The 19,511-nt window shown below is 45.3% G+C and overlaps 1 protein-coding gene across 1 annotated transcript, besides 4 other annotated features; it reads left to right on the top strand.

The window, feature by feature from the left end:
* Positions 697-1,434: an enhancer, noted in NCBI's record as "H3K27ac-H3K4me1 hESC enhancer chr5:133747703-133748440 (GRCh37/hg19 assembly coordinates)". NCBI's record gives its function as "activates a minimal SCP1, AML or CMV promoter by ChIP-STARR-seq in naive H9 embryonic stem cells {active_cell/tissue: H9 hESC(naive)}" and the evidence as "EXISTENCE:reporter gene assay evidence [ECO:0000049][PMID:30033119]".
* Positions 1,422-1,911: an enhancer, noted in NCBI's record as "active region_23144". NCBI's record gives its function as "activates an Ori minimal core promoter by ATAC-STARR-seq in GM12878 lymphoblastoid cells {active_cell/tissue: GM12878}" and the evidence as "EXISTENCE:reporter gene assay evidence [ECO:0000049][PMID:35858748]".
* Positions 1,422-2,173: a biological region, named in NCBI's record as "H3K27ac-H3K4me1 hESC enhancer GRCh37_chr5:133746964-133747702".
* Positions 1,435-2,173: an enhancer, noted in NCBI's record as "H3K27ac-H3K4me1 hESC enhancer chr5:133746964-133747702 (GRCh37/hg19 assembly coordinates)". NCBI's record gives its function as "activates a minimal SCP1, AML or CMV promoter by ChIP-STARR-seq in naive H9 embryonic stem cells {active_cell/tissue: H9 hESC(naive)}" and the evidence as "EXISTENCE:reporter gene assay evidence [ECO:0000049][PMID:30033119]".
* CDKN2AIPNL (CDKN2A interacting protein N-terminal like) lies at positions 1,565-11,381 on the top strand. Its single transcript, NM_080656.3, has 3 exons — positions 1,565-1,830; positions 3,444-3,543; positions 10,520-11,381. Exons 1-3 carry the CDS (start codon positions 1,592-1,594, stop codon positions 10,529-10,531), a joined length of 351 nt encoding a protein of 116 aa, NP_542387.1. The 5' UTR covers positions 1,565-1,591; the 3' UTR covers positions 10,532-11,381.

Raw genomic sequence — 19,511 nt, 5'->3', positions numbered from 1 at the left:
CAGAGGAGACAAGGGTTTGTGACAAAAGTCTGTCCTAGTGTGTTGACCATACTTCAGTCTTTCCTCCTGCAAAACAAATTCACTTAATGAAAACTCAGGGAGGGAACCAGAGATAATTGTTTCCTTTGGCGTTCTGGACTAAATTTAGGCAGATAAGGGAACAACTTCATCTTGTGCTTTGGGAGGAACAAAGAATTGACAGACAGGAGTGTGTGTTGGTGGCGGAGGTCACAGAGACCTTGAGGCTTCTTCATCAGTTCAGCATGTCAAAATACATTTTGGGGTGTTGGTTTCTGAGCCCCAACACCCAGTTACTGTAGTTGAATGCTTCCAGGGATGGAAAATTCACCACTTAAAAGGAAGCTCTTTTTTCTCTCAGTGTGTCTGCTACCTGAGACTCGAACAGACAGCAGAGTCATGCCAGCTAAATAAAAACTTTCAGGTCCAGCCAGTTACGATGGCTCATACCTGTAATCCCAGCATTTTGGGAGGCTGAGGGAGACGGATCACTTGAGCTCAGGAGTTCGAGACCAGCCTGGGCAACATGGCGAAACCCTGTCTCTATTTAAAACCAAGTCCAAACTTGCTCATTTCCTCTGGACACATTGTTTCTGGCTCCTTCCAGCATCTTTTGTAAACACAGGTGTCACTGTTCTGGTTAAAATCCTTCAGCGGCTCCCCATTCTTGGGATCTAGCCAGGATCCCTGCCTGGCCTACTGGCCTTGCTGACCTCTGCAACTTCATCTTCTCCATTCTCTACCTGCCCTGCCCCGCCCCCCAACCCCTCCTACCCCCTATCTTGCAATTCTCTTACCAGGCCATGCTCTCTCTTGCTTTGACCGACTCCCCTTTACTCAGAAAACTGCTCATTCTTCACTTCTCCAGGATCACTTCCCTGACCCCAAGACTAGATTGGGTCCCTTGCTTATTCATGGTTGTAGCACGCTGAACTTCTCTTTACTAATACTTGTCAACGCTGAAATTCTCCATTTACTTGAGCAATTATGTCACTAATGTCCACTCCTCCACTCCATGGTAAAGTTCAGGCGAGCAGGGCTCCGAATGTGCTCTCATTGCCTCTCCAGCACCTAGCAATGTGCCTGGCAAGTATTCACGGGATGGATGGATTACTCGCTCCAGGAAGGCGGGCCCCAACCTTCGTGGCTGTGGAGACCCCTGGAAGTCGACCGTGACCCGGGCCCCCTGATGTCGCTCAGGATGAGGCGGTGCCCGGGAAACTCTCAGGGCAAGGGCACAGCATAGCTCTGGCTGGCATCCAGCTGCCAACTGGAAGAGGGCGCTCCGAATCTGTGTTTAGGGACCTCAGTTTTCCCACCGGTTCCCCGCAGGGTCGACCGCAAAAGACCCTTGTAGCCCTGGGTAGACCCAGGGCAGGAGCCACGGGCTGCGGCGGTCTGAGGAGCCAGGAGCCGCTCTGTGCCCCCGCAGGCCGCCGCTCCGGGCGAGGGCGCTCCAGGTTGGTCTTCTGGAGCAGTCGTGCGCTGATGGGGCCCCTCTGGCCGGCAGGCGGTGGCGCAGTGCGCGTCGGGAAGGCGGCGGGCTATCCGGTCCTCGGCTGCGGCGGGCACCATGGTCGGTGGCGAGGCGGCTGCCGCAGTGGAGGAGCTGGTTTCGGGGGTGCGGCAGGCGGCCGACTTCGCGGAGCAGTTCCGCTCCTACTCAGAGAGCGAGAAGCAATGGAAGGCCCGCATGGAATTCATCCTGCGCCACCTGCCCGACTACCGCGACCCGCCCGACGGCAGTGGCCGCCTGGACCAGCTGCTCTCCCTCTCCATGGTCTGGGCCAACCATCTCTTCCTAGGCTGCAGGTGCGGACCCCTGCCGGCCGGCTGATCCTGTCCCCTATCTTCCGACCCTCAAGGCCTCTCCCAGGGCTCACCCCTGACCCGAACCTCTGCCCCAGACTGAACCCGGGCCCAACCTCCATCCGCATTGGTCGGCCCGAAGACTGATTCCCACCCTGGAGGCCCCTTGGAAAGATCCTTATCTTTGAGCCTCAGTTTTCTCTTCTGGTAAAAGGGTGGTTATGATGGCTGTAATAATTAAAGGGTGAAGAGCTAAATACATGGCGGGTTCAAAGGTTGCTATTGTTATTTGTATTACTATTATTATTAGCTCAAACCATCACCTTTGCAGTATGCATTCGAAGTCCGTTAGCCCCTGTCACCTACATGGCAAACGTGCAGAGAGAGAAACGGAGATCCCCATTTTACAGATGAAAAAGCTTAGGGAGAGAAGTGATATACCTGGGGCCATGCAGCTTCTGGCAGGATTGATGGATTTTAATCACTAATGAGAGGATGTAATCTGTATCCTATGGCTTTTTCTCCTCACTCCACAGCCCACGGGGTCCTAAGTAGGAACCAGCTTCACCTCTCTGCTTTCCCTCTTATGAAAATGGCCGATGCCTTTTTGTGAAGGTCTCAAAGCCCACTTCATCCTGGCTGCAGCACCAAAAGGACAAAGGCCCGCTTTTGAAGTGCCTGATAAGGCATTCCTTTCACCCCTCCATGAGGAAGGTGGCAAATCTTGAGACTCCCTATTAGAGAGCTTCGATTTTCCTGAAATTGTGTTAGGAAAATAGGGTGACTTGGTTTGATCTTGGTTTCTATACCTATTATGGCTGCCTGACTCTGGTCATTTGGCCCCTGCAGGCCTAAGCCACTTGGTTTTGCTTCACATATTGGGGTTTATTAGAACAGTACGTAGGGAAGCAATGCCAGAGGCACCCGTCCCTTTTCCCTGCCTTCTAGGTGCTCCTGGGAAATCCTGGTTTTCCATGGTTAGGCAAATGTCAGAGAATTGGGGAAATAAATAATGTTTTTGTTAGACTAACATTCCATGTATTTAAAAAATAAAAATATTTTGGTCCTCATCCTGTATCTGAGAATATCTGTTGCTGGATGTACAGTGCCTCTGTTCTTCTAAATCTTGAAACATCTGCTGTACTGGTATTTCTGAAGTCCACTTCTGTATCTACAAGCAAGAAGTGTTCACAGGGCCAGGCACGGTGTCTCACGCCAGTAATCCTAGCACTTTGGGAGGAGGATCACTTGAGGTCAGGAGTTGGAGACCAGCCTGGCCAACATGGTGAAACCCTGTCTCTACTAAAAATAAAAAATTAGCCAGGCGTGGTGGCACACGCCTGTAATCCCAGCTACTCGGGAGGCTGAGGCAGGAGAATTGCTTGAACCTGGGAGGTGGAGGTTGCAGTGAGCCGAGATCACACCACTGCACTCCAACCTGGGGGACAGAGCAAGACTCCATCTCAAAACCTTGTGGGGAACATGTATAGGTTTGCCCTGCAGTATCAGGTCAGTTCTCTGAGAGCTGATTTTATAGTTGAGCAACCTGCAGTTTCTTATTAATCCACAGTGACAATTGTTCCAAGGTTTTTACCTTACTACTTTTTATTGTGCAGTTACAATAAAGACCTTTTAGACAAGGTGATGGAAATGGCCGATGGGATTGAAGTGGAAGACCTGCCACAATTTACTACCAGAAGTGAATTAATGAAAAAGGTAAATAGGATTTCCAAGTGCATGTGATGAAATGGTGTAGAGTTAACAGTCCCTGCCTTGATGACACTATATTAGAGTATATTGTTTTTGAATGCTCTTTACTGCCCCAAAGACCTATACCCTTTCATTTTTATTTCCCCATAATTGGTATAAGCCTTTTCATAAATAGTTGACAACTCACTGTGGTAAATTATGCATTGTTGATGAGGTAACACATAAGCTTAACCTCTTCCGGTTGTTTAGGAACATTGTTTTGAGATTTTTGCTTGATGTTTAAAAAGATGTTGGCTAGAATACTTAAGTTTCCTACTTGTTAAAAAATCTCATTGGTAAGACTCATCCTTACCCCAGGTGTGAGTGCCGGTGTGAGTGCCGACCTGACTTGTTTGGCTTCTGTGATTTGCTGATAAGAACGTGCCTGGAGCAATGTCGATGGCATAGCTGTTCTCTACCCTTTGGGGTCTGATCTCAGGCGATGGGCTTTTTACAGTGAGTCTTGCCTAGAGTCTTGAATCTGGACACTGGAGCTGGGGCTACAGAATGTGGCAGAAAGAACCTCAGAATATGGAGCTGGGCATCCCAGCTATTAATACTTTTCAGAATCACCTCCAAAACATGCTTGTTTCACATTTGTCTGCTCAGGCAGCAGAATTAATTGCTCGCTTATCTTCTGAAGTTCCTTTGGCACTTTATCCAGGGCTCTTTTAAAGCAGTTGTGACCTTACAGATGGTGTCTAAAGTTCTATTTAGTCTTTACAACTCCCAAACCTAGTATACTTATACCCCAGAGAAGGTACTCAGAAAATACTTATAAAATCGACTGAAGCAGTAGAGTAAAAAGCTGCTGGCCCCTTTTTAGGTCTGCCCTTAGAAACATAGGTAAGCCCATTCCTCCACATTTAGGTCTTGTCTTGGGAGGTGGGGCACATATAGAGGTCCTCTTCCATATGGGTGTCAAGGAACTAATCAGATTCTCAGTTGCTCATAAAGTATTTCAGTCCCAAATAGTACACCCCACTTGATTTTCAGGATGGTTTGTTTTTCTTAAAAAAGTATTCTTTTAGTTTTAATCTGAACCTGGGGAAAAGCTTCAGGTTGGTTTTCGAGATGCTATTATGTTTTAAAATCAGCTGTTACCTCAACACAGTACTCCTGACAAAAAATCAGTAAGTAAAATCAGCTGTTTTTTTGTTTTTGTTTGTTTGTTTGTTTGTTTTTGAGAGGGAGTCTCCCTGTGTCGCCCAGGCTGGAGTGAGGTGGTGCGATCTGGGCTCACTGCAAGCTCTGCCTCCCAGGTTCACACCATTCTCCTGCCTCAGCCTCCTGAGTAGCTGGGACTACAGGCGCCTGCCACCACGCCCAGCCAATTTTTTTTTTTTTTTTTTTTTTGTATTTTTAGTAGAGACGGGGTTTCACCGTGTTAGCCAGGATGGTCTCGATCTCCTGACCTCGTGATCCGCCCGCCTCGGCCTCCCAAAGTGCTGGGATTACAGGTGTGAGCCACCGCACCAGGACTAAAATCAGCTGTTAAAAAGGGGCTACTGTTTTTAGCCAGGGAGCAGTGTGAATTGGGAGTGTGTGGCTTTTTGGATCTTCTCATGTAATACTTAAAAAAATACTGGGCAGTCCTTGGGTGTTCTATAGTAAGGTTCTTGGGGCCCAGCCAGGGAGGAGCTAGATAGTTTCTGGCTACTGGAGTATACCTTATGGGGCAGGGGCAGGGGCAGAGGTAGGCAGGGAATGAGGTGAGCCTTTATTTTTAATTTATTTTTTAGATAGAGGCTCACTTTGTCACCCAGGCTGGAGTGCAGTGGCACGATCTCAGCTCACTGCAACCTCTGCCTCCCAGGCTCAAGTGATTCTAGCGCCACAGCCTCCCCAGTAGCTGGGATTACAGCCGGGTGCCACCATACCCAGCTAATTTTTGTATTTTTAGTAGAGAAAGGGTTTTGCCATGTTGTCCAGGCTGGTCTTGAACTCCTGGCCTCAAGTGATCTGCCCAGCTTCCCAAAGTGCTAGGATTACAGGCGTGAGCCACTGCACCTGGCCGAGCCTTTATTTTTTAACTGCTTGTGATAGATTCTTTCCTTTTTGTTTCTAAGAGGTTTTCTGATTTTCCTTTTTTTTTTTTTTTGAGATGGAGTTTTGCTCTTGTTGCCCAGGCTGGAGTGCAATGGTTCAGCTCACTGCAACCTCTGCCTCGCGAGTTTAAGCGATCCCTTGCCTCAGCGTCCCAAGAAGCTGGGATTACAGGCGCCTGCCACCACGCGCGGCTATTTTTTGTATTTTTTAGTAGAGATGAGGTTTCACCATGTTGGCCAAGTTGTTCTCGAACTCCTGACCTCAGGTGATCCACCCACCTCAGCTTCCCAAAGTGCTGGGATTACATGCGTTAGCCACTGTGCCCAGCAAGGTTTTCTGATTTTTTATATCAGTTCTCCATTATACTTCTCTGTCTTATATGTTTTCTGAAAGGTATCTGAACTCTTTCCAGTCATGTTGGGTATTAGAGATCAGAACACCTAATGACATTGGGCTGCAGACCCCAGTAGGAGACTAAGGAGGTTTGGCACGTCCCAAACATTATCTATAGACCAGTGTGAAGTGTGTGTGTGTGTGTGTGTGTGTGTGTGTGTGTGTGTGTGTTAGGAAGGGTCTTTCTGAAACATCCTAAAGGGGTCTTATACCTAAAAAATGTACAGAGCCCCTGCCCTGGGATGTTCATTCTTGACACTGTCATTGCACAGTGTGAGTCTACAGAGAAGAGTCCTCAGGCATGAAATTATCTTCTTGAAACCAGTGCCGCCATCTTACTAATCATTAGCAGTTAGCTATGTGGAAGAAGCCTATATAGAGGCCATACTTCTATAGCATTTTTGAATTGTGTGTTGCAACTTCCTTCAAATAAAACTTATGTTTTTCTAAGTAGCCAGGTTTAACTTTAGTCTGTTGATGCCACTCTAAGTGAAATTCAGCTGATCCTGAAAAGTGAGATACTTAGAGGGTGCATAGAGTTTTGCCAGTTTTGTTTTCAGACAGGGGTCTCTCTCTGTGGCTCAGGCTGGAGTGCAGTGGCTTGCTCACGGCTACCCGCAGCCTTGACCTGCCAGGCTCAAGTGATCCTTGCACCTTAGCCTCCCCAGTAGCTGGGACTACAGGTGTGTACCACCATGCTTGGCTAATTTTTGTAGAGACTGGGTTTTGCTATGTTCCCCAGGCTGGTCTCAAATGATCCACCTGCCTCAGCCTCCCAAAGTGCTGGTGTGAGTCACTGTGCCTGGTGAATCTTTAAGACTCTTCCAGATAAGCCCATTCTGAGAACGAGTCATCTGATCTATGTACCATGACAAATTTGTGTGGTATTGAAGGCTGTCCCCTCTCCATTGAATGCCACTGGAAAGAGAGCCATGAGGACTTTGCAGCAGTTTCATCCTTTGCCTGCAGTTTTTGCACACATGACAGAGGATGCTGAAAAACATTAGGCAACATTGCCAGCCCATAGACAAAATACTCCTGATGTCCAGCCATACACCTGAAAACGTCTGTTGTTGTTCTGCCCAGAATTGATGCTTTAGCTAAAAAATTAGAGTTTAGTTGGGTTTTAAAGCTAGCTACCAAGTGGAAGTAAATTGCCTGGCATTGTTGGTATCTCAAGACAGACAGTGATGATGATTTGGAGACATAAGCTCTTTAAGATTTTAAAAATACTTTATGGCTATTCTGCAGCTTTGAGGCAAGTAGATCTCTGCAATCTGTCCAGCTCTTTTTTTAAGTCTGAGAAAAGAAATGAGCATTGGTTTCTGACAGGTGGAATTTGTTGGACAGTTGCAGTATATGATTTTTTTTCTTTTGAAAGGGGATTCAAACACACATACATTGAGTAAACAATCTTGATTATCTAACTGCCATCCTAGGCTACTGCTGGCAGCCTTTGTGGTTGCTCACCTTACCAATTAATGAGCGATAATTAACAAAGAGCAGCAGCTGACTCAGGAAAGATGTCATTGCTATGACTGTCAGAATTAATATTTCCAAGGTAATGTTTTAAGGAGAAAGGAGTGATTGACTAGGAAGCTATCATTATTGACTCAAAGAAAGAAGCTGTCAACCTAATTTACGTGGTCCATTTTTTTCTGAGAACATTTTTATCCCAAGAGGGAAAATGGCAGTATGAAAAGTGACTATGAAGGCTGGGCGTGGTGGCTCATGCCTGTAATCCTAACACTTTGGGAGGCCGAGGCAGGCAGGTCACGAGGTCAGGAGTTTGAGACCAGTCTGACCAACATGGTGAAACCCCGTCTCTGCTAAAAATACAAAAATTAGCTGGGCATGGTGGCACGTGCCTGTAATCCCAGCTACTCAAGAGGCTGAGGCAGGAGAATCACTTGAACCCGGGAGGTGGAGGTTGCAGTGAGCCGAGATCGTGTCATTGCACTCCAGCCTGGGCGACAGAGTGAGACTCTGTCTCAAAAAATAATAATTAAAAAAAAGAAAAATGGGCTGGGCGCGGTGGCTCACGCCTGTAATCCCAGCACTTTGGGAGGCCGAGGCGGGCGGATCACAAGGTCAGGAGATCGAGACCATCTTGGCTAACACGGTGAAACCCCGTCTCTACTAAAAATACAAAAAATTAGCCGGGCGCGGTGGCGGGCGCCTGTAGTCCCAGCTACTCGGGAGGCTGAGGCAGGAGAATGGCGTGAACCTGGGAGGCGGAGCTTGCAGTGAGCCGAGATTGCGCCACTGCAATCCGGCCTGGGCTAAACAGCGGGACTCCGTCTCAAAAAAAAAAAAAAAGAAAAATGACGATGAAATTTGAAAGGCCAGGTGCAGTGGCTCATGCCTATAATCCCAGCACTTTGGGGAGGCTAAGGTGGGTGGATCATTTGAGGTTGAGAGTTTGAGACCAGCCTGGCCAACATGGCAAAACCCCGTCAACTAAAAATACAAAAATTAGCCGGGCGTGGTAGTACCTGCCTGTAGTCCCAGTTACTCTTGAGGCTGAGGCAAGAGAATCGCTTGAGCCTGGAAGGCGGAGGTTGCAGTGAGCCAAGATGGCACCGCTGTACTCTAGCCTGGGCAACGGAGTGAGACTGTTTCAAAAAAAAGAAAGAAAAAGAAATTTGAAAGAAAAGTTAGAAAAACAAGTGTGCCTGCTTTTGTGCATTGTGTCATCTTGGCAAGCTCTGAGGTACTAGAGCTGCCGCTCCCTTGGTGGAAGCAGCCATGATTCTAAGATGGTGCAAATGTTGGTGAGTATTAAAAAAAAAAAAAAAATCAGCCTAGCCCAGTGGCTCTGCCTGTAATCCCAGCACTTTGGGAAGCCGAGGTGGGAGAATTGCTTGAGCCCAGGAGTTCCAGACCAGCCTGGGCAGCATAGTGAGACTTTTGTTGCAACAAAAAATAAAATAAAAACTACCTGGGCATAGTTGCGCATGCCTGTGGTCCCAGCTACTCGAGAGGCTGAGGTGGGAGGATCACTTGAGCCTGGGAGGTTGAAGCTGCAGTTAGCCATGATCGTACCACTGCACTCCAGCTTGGGTGACAGAGTGAGACCCTGTCTCCAAAGTTAAAAAAAATCAGCCTGTCAGATTAGTTAAATCAGAGGTCTAAGTTGTACCTCAAGATAAACGCTCATTGGAGCTACTTGTCTTTTACTCTTTATCCACTAGAAATAGAAGCCAGAAAAGGTGTGTCTGATCCCACAGACCAGTCTTATCTGGAGCTTATGAGTCAGTAGTGTATCACCTGCAAACACCTGTGGAAAAGATGGTATACACAGCAGCCCAAACCGGCGGCAGCTGTACGCTTCCATAGCCTTGGTCTGTCCTGTCATTTGAGAGATGGCTTAGGGGATTTTTTTCTCTTTGGACTTAAGATGGTTTCTTTAGGTAATACCGCATTCTCCTAAATGGTGAAAGTCTTCTTATAATTTGCTTTTGCTGAGGAATTTTGTTTTTTCATCTGAAAAAGACTGACTGGGGCTGGGCACAGTGGCTCACGCCTCTAATCCCAGCACTTTGGGAGGCCGAGGTGGGTGGATCATGAGGTCATGAGTTCAAGACCAGCCTGGCCAAAATGGTGAAACCCCATCTCTACTAAAAACTACAAAAATTAGCCGGGCGCAGTGGCAGGTACCTGTAATCACAGCTACTCGGGAGGCTGAGGCAGGAGAATTGCTTGAACCCAGGCAGCAGAGGTTGCAGTGAGCCAAGATCGTGCCACTGCACTCCAGCCTGGGTAACAGAGTGAGACTCCGTCTCAAATAAAAAGAAAAAGCACTCACTGGTCTAACTAGGAAATAGGTCATACCTTGAAATCTCTGATTACTAAAAAGACTCTCAGATTGATTCACTTGCACTGCTAAATGTTAAGGAAATTCATTCAAATACAAGGTGACAGCCAAAGTGATTTTTTCACACCCTGTTTAAAAGTTGTCTAAAGCCAAGTTTAAATTTACCAAAGGTGCTAGAGAGTAACCAGAAAGAATAGCTCTGCTTCATTTCACCACTATTTGAAGACAAGCTTTTACAGTTTCTAATAGTGTGAAATCCAGAAATATATAACCTTCACATCTAAATATCCTGACTCAATGTGAAATGTTGTGAATTACTACCTGAACTGACTGCTTTTAATTTAGAACAATAAGTGTTTGTGTGACTCTGCTTTTAGAACCTTTCACTGCAAAGCATGCCAGAAAAAGTTGTATTTTAAGCATTTCCATTATCACTTTAAATTGTGAACATTTATAGATTGCAAGTGACAAGACAGGAAAATCAAGTTCTGGCTTCCAAATGGATGCTGTGGTCAATGTTTTGCTGAATTTTCTGTATGTTGTAAAATATTAATAATTTCTGAGTATACTTACTGTCTGGATAGTACATAAATATTACATCACTGCTATATTTTAATTTATGAAGATGAATTTGATTCACTGGACTACATGGTTATGTAACCTTTTCTTTTCTTTTTTTCCCAGCATCAAAGCTAAGCCAGAAGATTTATCACATTTTCATCATCAGCTACAGGATTAGAAAGGAGGCTGGGATGAATGTGACATAGACCACAGCAGCTCTCTTAAGACTCCTGGTATTACCAACATAAAGAGGCAGGTGGAATGAGAAGGACTCTGTCTAGATTGGCTTTTTTAACATTCTCATTTTCCCAGGAGTTATCACTGTAAAAGTATGCATGGATATTTATGTATTTATAAATCATGCACTCTAAGATGAGTTCATCAACATTGTAAAAGCCCTCTTTTCTGTTTTCAGGTTTTTTTTTTTCTTATCGACAAGGTCTCACTCTGTCGCCCAGGCAGAAGCACAAAGGTGCAGTATTGGCTCATTGCAGCCTCGAACTCCTGGGCTCATATTTTCAGGGTTTTTTGTTTTTTGTTTTGTTTTTTTGAGACAGAGTCTTGCTCTGTTGCCCAGGCAGTAGTGCAGTGGCGCGATATATTTTCAGTTTTTAAACGTCAGAATTTTTGTTTAAAATGCCTTTTTGGGCTGGGCACAGTGGCTTATGCCCATAATAATCCCAGCACTTTGGGAGGCCGAGGTGAGCAGATCACCTGAGGTTAGGAGTTTGAGACCAGCCTGGCCAACACGATGAAACCCCGTCTCTACTAAAAATACAAACAAAATTAGCTGGGCATGGTGGCGGACATCTGTAATCCCAGCTACTCAGGAGGCTGAAGCAGAAGAACTGCTTGAACCTGGGAGGTGGAGGTTGCAGTGAGCCAAGATCGCACCATTGCACTCCATCCTGGGCGACAAAAATGAAACACCGTCTCAAAAAAAATAAAAATAATAAAATAAAATGCCTTTTTGTTGTTGATGTAATAATGGCAGGTAATTAATTTTATAGTTTAGATTTTTCAACAATGTACCTTTAAGTGCGATTCTCTTTTATGGCCTTTTTCTTCCCCCACCAAGGCAAATCAGATCCTTTAATTCCTATTTCCACCTGAAATTTATACCATACCTATACCATACCCAACTACCACACATACTCATCCTTTTTTAAGAAATGAGAATCAAATCATAGACTTGAAGTACCCACCAGCTCACGGGAAGAGGCAGCCTACCAAAAAGCATCTGGCCTTAGTTTAAAACGAATTGACACAGGATTCCGGGGCTTCGTCCGGTCAGCCAGTTGATTTGTAAATTCTGTCTCCCAGACTGCTTTTCTGGAGGAAGCCTGAGGCTTGGGTCTTCTAGACTTGAGGAGCCACCTTGCACATAGCCTCTTAAGAAATACTTGTTGCAGTCCTGCTTTGCTCTGTGATTTTGGTCTTAATGTTCCTCAGCTAAGTGTCTGTTCTGTACCCCCTCTCTGCTCCTCTTTCTTGTTTAGTCCCCACCATTAAGGAAATAGGTCTAGGCATAAATACTGGGAGAGGGGCTTCATTTGGGAGGCAGTAGTGTAAGTTTATTACAGGAGGGGTCACTCAACAGTGGTAGGCACTGTGCTTGGTACTAGTGATAGTGGCAAATAAGAGACATTGGACCCTGCAGGCCGGGTGTGGTGGCTCACACCTGTAATCCCAGCACTTTGGGAGTCCAAGGTGGTCAGATCACAAGGTCAGGAGTTTGAGACCAGCCCAGCCAACATGGTGAAACTCTGTCTCTACTAAAAATACAAAAATTAGCTGGGTGTGGTGGCATGTGCCTGTAATCCCAGCTATCCAGGAGGCTGGGGCAGGAGACTCGCTGGAACCCAGGAGACAGAGGCTGCAGTGAGCCGAGATTGCACCACTGCACTCCAGCCTGGGCGACAGAGCAAGATTCTTGTCTTTTTTTTTTTTTAAAAAAAAGAGGCCGGGTGCGGTGGCTCATGCCTGTAATCCCAGCACTTTGGGAGGCCGAGGCAGGCAGATCACCTGATGTTGGGAGTTCGAGACCAGCCTGACCAACATGGAGAAACCCCGTCTCTACTAAAAATACAAAATTAGCCAGGCATGGTGGCACGTGCCTGTAATCCCAGCTACCAGGGAGGCTGAAGCAGGAGAATCGCTTGAACCTGGGAGGTGGAGGTTGTGGTGAGCTGAGATCGCGCCATTGCACTCCAGCCTGGGCAACAAGAGTGAAACTCCATCTCAAAAAAAAAAAAAAAAGAAAAAAAGAAAATGCATTTTCCTAATTTGAGTAGGAAGCTATGAAAAAAAGAGAAGAAGAAAATGCATTTCCATAGGTTTGTCATCGTGAATTCCATTTCTTTATATGATATGAAGCCCTGATAAAATAATAATAGCCTTTCAGGAATGCATCCACTGCATAAAGCAAGTTTAAATTGTGGAATGACTTCCCTTCAATTGCTTTTATTTATTTTTGTTTTTTCAGAGCCGGGGTCTCTCACTCTGTCACCCAGGTTGGAGTGCAGTGGTGTAATCATAGCTCACTGCAGCCTCAAACTCCTGGTCTCAGGTGATCCTCCTCCCAAAGTGCTAAGAATACAGGCAGGAGCTACTAAACCCAGCCTCCTTTAGTTTGTTTTTGAAGACTTCCTAGTTAATCAAAATCAAGTTTCAATTTTCTAATAGGTTTTCTCTCATTGTTTCCTCACTTAAACTGCTTTTCTTCTCATCTTTTACAATTTCTGTGGCTATCTCACATATAAAATTAACCAGTATTTTAGAATTTCATCTTTTATTTCTGGAATAGAAAGTGGCAAAGAAATCTAAATGTTTGCATTTCAGCAATACTTGTGGTATAGATAAAATGGCCCACTGTCAGCCTTGAAACAGTACCTTCTATCACATAGTTCATATACAGTCTTGCTGAAGACTTGGAGTGAAGATAGAGTGAGATCATAGGAAGGGACAAGTAATAAATAGGAGGAGAACTTTTTTTTTTTTTTTTTTTTTTTAAGATGGAGTCTCTCTCTGTCGCACGGGCTGAAGTGCAGTGGCGCTATTTCGGCTCACTGCAACCTCTGCCTCCCAGGTTCAAGCAGCTCTCCTGCCTCAGCCTCCCGAGTAGCTGGGACTACAGGCATGCGCCACTATGCCCAGTTAATTTTTGTATTTTTAGTAGAGACAGGGTTTCACCATGTTGGTTGGCCAGTATGGTCTCGATATCTTGACCTTGTGATCTGCCTGCCTTGGCCTCCCAAATTGCTGGGATTACAGGTGTGAGCCACCACGCCTGGCCTGGAGAACTTTTTTTTTTTTTTTTTTGTAAATCCAAACTACACCTAGAAAACTGCTTTCTGAAACATTCCTTAGTCTGTGGCTCACCTAATAATCCTCACTCAACCTTATCAGGAGGTAAGGATTCTGTCTGAACTCAGGATCCATTTGGATCGGTGGCCTACCTATGGGCAATGAGAGGAATCATATTAACTGTCACTGTCCATCCTCTGAGTCTTTGTAGTTTGTAGTAAAATACATACTGTCCCATATAAAAAATGAGAATTGTGTTACCCTAAATGTCAGATAATTTGGTGTTTCCCAGCTCTCCAGCTCTAAAGAATCTCTGCTGGGTATCCCTTTATGTCTGGAAGGAGACTGTCAGCTTCTGGTATCTGAGACCTGTGTGCCCTATAACATCTAGTTATGGCTATCGTTCTTAACTAGTTTAGGGATTCCTTTCTGTAGGAATTAAGAGTAAACACAGATCTTCAGAGGCAAGAGTTTTAGAACTTATTGAAGACTTTTGGTCATATGGAAACTTCATTCAACAAAGAGTGCACCCTTAAAAAAAATCTCTACTGTCATTGGGTATGTGTATCTGCGTGTGTGTGTGTGTATGTGTATGTATATACATACATATATATACATATGTAATGAAAAGCAAGCCAGGCAAGATTGTTTCTTCCCCAAAGTTCACTCTGCCTATTCTTTTTTTTTTTTCCCTTTCTTTTAAATTTAGAGACAAGATCTTGGTATGTTGCCCAGGCTAGAGTACAGTGGCTGTTCACAGGTACAGTCACAGTACACTACAGCCTTGACCTTCTGGCCTCAAGCCATCTTCCCATCTCAGCCTCCGGAGTGGCTGGGATTACAGATGCATGCTGCGCACAGCTCACTCTGCCTTTTCTAAAGTTAGGACTCCTGGGGCTAGGTGGTGGTGGTGTTGGCTACCCTTCTTATTTTGGTTTGGAAGGTTTTCATAATGACTGCAGTAGGGTCAGAGTCCTCTGCATGTGGTCCTATCAGTGATGGATGTGGGTCTGAAGCCCTGCTCATCAACACACACTGAACCAAATGAGGAGGTGGGGTAAAAAGACTATCATCTGAACAGATTTCTTGGAAATCAAAGAACAGAAAATAAAAATTGAGGCTGGGTGCAGGGGCTCCATGCCTGTAATCCCAGCACTTTGGGAGGTAGGAAGATCACTTGCTAGGAGTTCAAGACCAGCCTAGGTAACATAGTAAGACCCCATCTCTACAAAACAATTAAAAAAAAATAGGCATGGTGGTGCACACCTGTATGTAGTTCCAGCTACTTGGGAGGCTGAGGTGGGAGGATTGCTTGAGGACAGGAGGTTGAGGTTGCAGTGAGCCATGACCGAGCCGCTGTACTTCCAGCCTGACAACTGAGTGAGACCTTGTCTCCAAAAAGAAGGATGGGGAGAGGAAAAAAAATTGAGTGACATTGACACTATTTAGCCCCTATTCTTACCTACACTAGAGTGAGAGCTTTTTTCCTTGATGTTGTGTCAAACAGGGATGCCTCTTTAGAATATAAACCAGTGGTCCTAACCGAAGTCCTTTCTTTCCCAGCCTCATAGACTAATGAACCAATGAACCCAAAGTATCCTTGAATGTGGCCCCCTTCAGCCTCATTTGCCTTGGAGAATGTTGCTGTTAGGGGTCTGAGACAGGTCTTGGTCCTCACCTAATATGACAGAGAGGCAATGAACAGTAAAGAGGTCAACCTTGAGCTGTGGGGGCCTAGTGACTAAAGTTCTTGTTTTGCTATGAAAGTTGGCACCAAAATCTCATCCTTCTAGGGCTGCATTTTCCATTCCCTCTGACACTCTCATAGTAAGAATGTTGAATTGTCCCTAGTAGGTGTGAGCTGGTAGATATTCCTTCAAATTGAGTGTTACTTTACCTCAGTGTAGGCATTTGCAAAGTGGGGATGATTCTTACTTCAAACTTTATTGGAGGATTCAGTGGAAAAATGAATGTCTATGAGTACCTGGCACTTAGTAGGCTCTCTCTGCTTCATTCCTGCCCTAGTTTCCCTCTAAGCCCAAGGACGGAAGATAGGAAAGCTTTTCAACTAAGATTTACACAAAACAGGTGCCCACAATCATTCCACGCAACCAGGCTCCATCCCTGCAAAAGTGCTGCAGAAGTGGACCTTTTCAGTTTGTGGTGCCCAGCCCAACATGCAATCTGGCACCCATTAGATACTAGGTAAATGTCGTTGACTGATGAGTGGTGGCAGGCACTGAACAATGCAGCACCAACCAAAATGTCAGGTTGTTCTGTAGGGGGAAGTAGCAAAACCTCCAGGGGAAAGGGTTACCAGGTGGCAAACCTTGGCCAGAGCTCATGTCACCACTGCACCCTGCCCCCATGCAACCGCACCTCAATACTAGGTGCCTTGTCACCCCTGTATCACTGGATCTAGGAGGTCTGGAGCTTGTGCAGCCTGTGGGTATGTGCCTTTCATTGTGGGCATGGCCTTTGCTCCAGCACTTGCTATGTGGCAGGAGGCTTATCCTGGAGTTTGTTTTTGTTTTTTTGAGATGGGAGTTTTGCTCTTGGTGCCCAGGCTGGAGTTCAGTGGTGCGATCTTGGCTCACTGCAACCTCTGCCTCCTGGTTTCAAGCGATTCTCCTGCCTCAGCCTCCTGAGTAGCTGGAATTACAGGCAGGTGCCACCACGCCCAGCTAATTTTTTGTTTTTTTTAGTAGAGATGGGGTTTCATCGTGTTGGCCAGGCTGGTCTCAAACTCCTGACCTCAGGTAATCCACCAGCCTCATCCTCCCAAAGTGCAGGGATTATAGGCGTGAGCCACCACGCCCTGTCCTGGAGTTTTGTCCTACAAAGTGGCTACATTCCTTATCACTCTGGCTGTGAATTTTGGGCCCCAGCTCACTACAGAACCCAATTCCCCTTAAACCAGCTGTTTTCAACATCTCAGGTGGTAAGACTGTGACTCAGATTCCTTCTTTTTGTATTCACCAAATTATGTTTTATGATGATTTTCTACTTTTTCAACAAAAAACAGAACTGCTATTTAAGCCGGGAGTGGTGGCCCATGCCTGTAATCCTAGCTACTCAGGAGGCTGAGGCACGAGGATTGCTTGAGCCCAGCAATTTGAGTCTAGCCTGGTCAACATACGAGACCCTGTCTCTAAAAGATAAATAAATAAAATTAGCTGAGGTGGCACGTGCCTGTAGTCCCAACTACTCAGGAGGCTGAGGTTGGAACTGCTTGAGTCCAAGGGTTCCAGGCTGTAGTGAGCTGTGATCATGTGACTGCATTCCAGACTGGGCAATAAAGTGAGACCCATTTAAAATGTGCCCAGAAGCTCAGAGCTTGGACCCCAGAGGTCTCCTGTTATTCTACAGGACTCCTGCTCACAGCCTATGAATGCATGGCTAGAAGCTGTCCGGAAACCAGTTCTCAATCTTTGGCTTTAATAAAATTTCAGTCTTTAGTACTTGTATTGTTATTCTTACAGCCTAATCCCTGACTTGGTTTTGAGAGGAAGCCATGGTGATTGTAGTCTCAAGCTGCCCTGTGCAAAAGAAGACCCAGCCCCAGTCAAAGAATTAATGTAGCAAGACCCCGTCTATACCAAAAAAAGAAAAAAGAACTGTGTAAGCACTAAGATAGGAACTTTTTCCTACAGATTAGTTTATCAAACTTGCCACCTCCAAGTCCTGGTATTGCCTTGGCTGGCTTGCAGAAGGTTCTTTGTCTTTATTCTAAAGGCGACTTTCCAGCTGATGTTTCAGGGAGTTTCCACCTCAAACCACAACCTTATGGCCCATGCAGGAATACTCCTATGACCAAAGATCTCTGCTACACAGCAAGGTTACCAGTTTAGCTTTTCTTTGCAGTGCTACTTCTCACCTGTAGCTGAAACTAGTAACATGGGCTGAAGTCTCTGGATTTCACCCTGATCTCTGCCCAGTATGGTCATTAGGCCAAGCAAAAGCATCTTTTTCTATAGGAAGGGAAAATATCCCTTAGATTTAAAATGAGGTTAACAGCTAAGCAACTTCCCGTTGTTTTCTTTGTACTAACATCAACACAAAAACATAACATTTCCAATTCAATCTTATACAATGACTTTATACAGGGGCCAGCCAAAGAACTTCAAACCTTTCTGTTTGATATTCTCTTTTTCAGGAGTGCTGCTAGTCCAGCACTCCTGTACTCGTGGGTTATGGTATTGGCAAAAGATCTTGTTTGTAAAGGTGGAAAGGAAGAGGGCAATATATCCCTTGGGCTTCAGAAATAAAGCAGCATAACCAACCCTTTGCTTTTTGAGATGGAGTCTTGCTCTGTCACCCAGGCTGGAGTGCAGTGGTGCAATCTCAGCTCACTGCAACCTCCGCCTCCAGGGTTCAAGCGATTCTCCTGCCTCAGCCTCCCGAGTAGCTGGGATTACAGGCGCCCGCCACCACGCCTGGCTAATTTTTTATTTTACTAGGGATGGGGTTTCGCCATGTTGCCCAGGCTGGTCTCCAACTCCTGACCTCTGGTGATCCACCCGCCTCGGCCTCCCAAAGTGCTAGGATTACAGGCATGAGCCACCGCACCCAGCCCCCTTTGCTCTTAAGGGGATCTGCCTCAAGTGCTTTTATGTTTGCATTTTGGCAGTCTTAAAGACACAGTAGAGAACAACTCTTGCATTCCAGAAGAATGACTAAATTGTTCAGGTTGATGGAACCCCAGGGGATCTTTTCAGAGACAGGCTTTGATTCCCTTTACAGGAGTTCCCAGCCCAGTGGCACTTTATGAATCTGTCTTCCAAGTAAGACTTCAGAGGAGCCAACCTCCCCTAAAAGACTACAGAAGGATCATACTTGTAACCAAGACTGTTACTATTATATGAAGACTTTCTCTAATTGGCTTTGCTTTCTCTAGGCAGAGCCCACTCTATTATATATTAGAGTCTTCTCAAATATATTAATCCACAAGTCACTGATGAACAAAAGCAACATGTGGCCAAGCTTTAGCATTTACTTCCCAAAAGATTTCATATGCAAGTTTCTCACACAAGTCTGAATCTTACATATGCCAAAGAGAACTCTGGAGCCCAAGTTCTTCCAAAGTTCTTGATTTCAGCCATCAAGGAACTAATGTTGAGCTGTGGAGCAGTCAGATAACCAACAGGGTTTGTAATGTGCACAGCTCATTCATCTTTTTGGCTCAACTAAAAATTCCTAGGCCATCCTGTGAACACAAGAAGCCCTGAAAGCTCAAGATATTTCTGACAAAATTGTTTTTAAAAAAAGCTGTAGTGATGGTGAGGAGAATTCACTGAAGGAAGAATGGCACACATTTAATTGTGTCTTCTTTGTTGAAACGATAAAGAAAAAGTCCTTTCAACAATAAAATTTAGTTTCTAATATCTTTGCTGTCATATGCTAGAATGACTGATGATAACTAATCTTTCCCCCATCTGGTAACAGTTCATTCCCCCCTAACTAGATGGGAACTAAAGTAATAGAGCTACCATCTTGGCATAAGGCCTCTGTCCTATGGATAATTTCATTTACCGCGAACAGCTTTCCAACTATTCACTTTTCTGTTTAAATACATGATTCTCACATAACTCAGATTCCACTTGGACTCTACATTGTTGAATGCAATGGAAAAGAACTGTCATAAACACCATCAAGACTCCAAAATTTGATCCCTACCTCTTAAAACCTGGGAGAATTGAAATATGAAACACCTTAGACATAACTCTGAAGTGTAATATGATCCTCAGGGTTATCTCTTAAAGAATACTAAATGAATAAACTAAGTAGGCAGTTAACTTTGTTTAATGAG

The sequence above is a fragment of the Homo sapiens genome, chromosome 5, assembly GCF_000001405.40.
Source record: "Homo sapiens chromosome 5, GRCh38.p14 Primary Assembly".
In the NCBI taxonomy this organism is placed as follows: domain Eukaryota; kingdom Metazoa; phylum Chordata; class Mammalia; order Primates; family Hominidae; genus Homo; species Homo sapiens.
The sequence above is the reverse complement of the archived record's forward strand: the minus strand, read 5'-3'. Positions and strand labels throughout refer to the sequence as shown.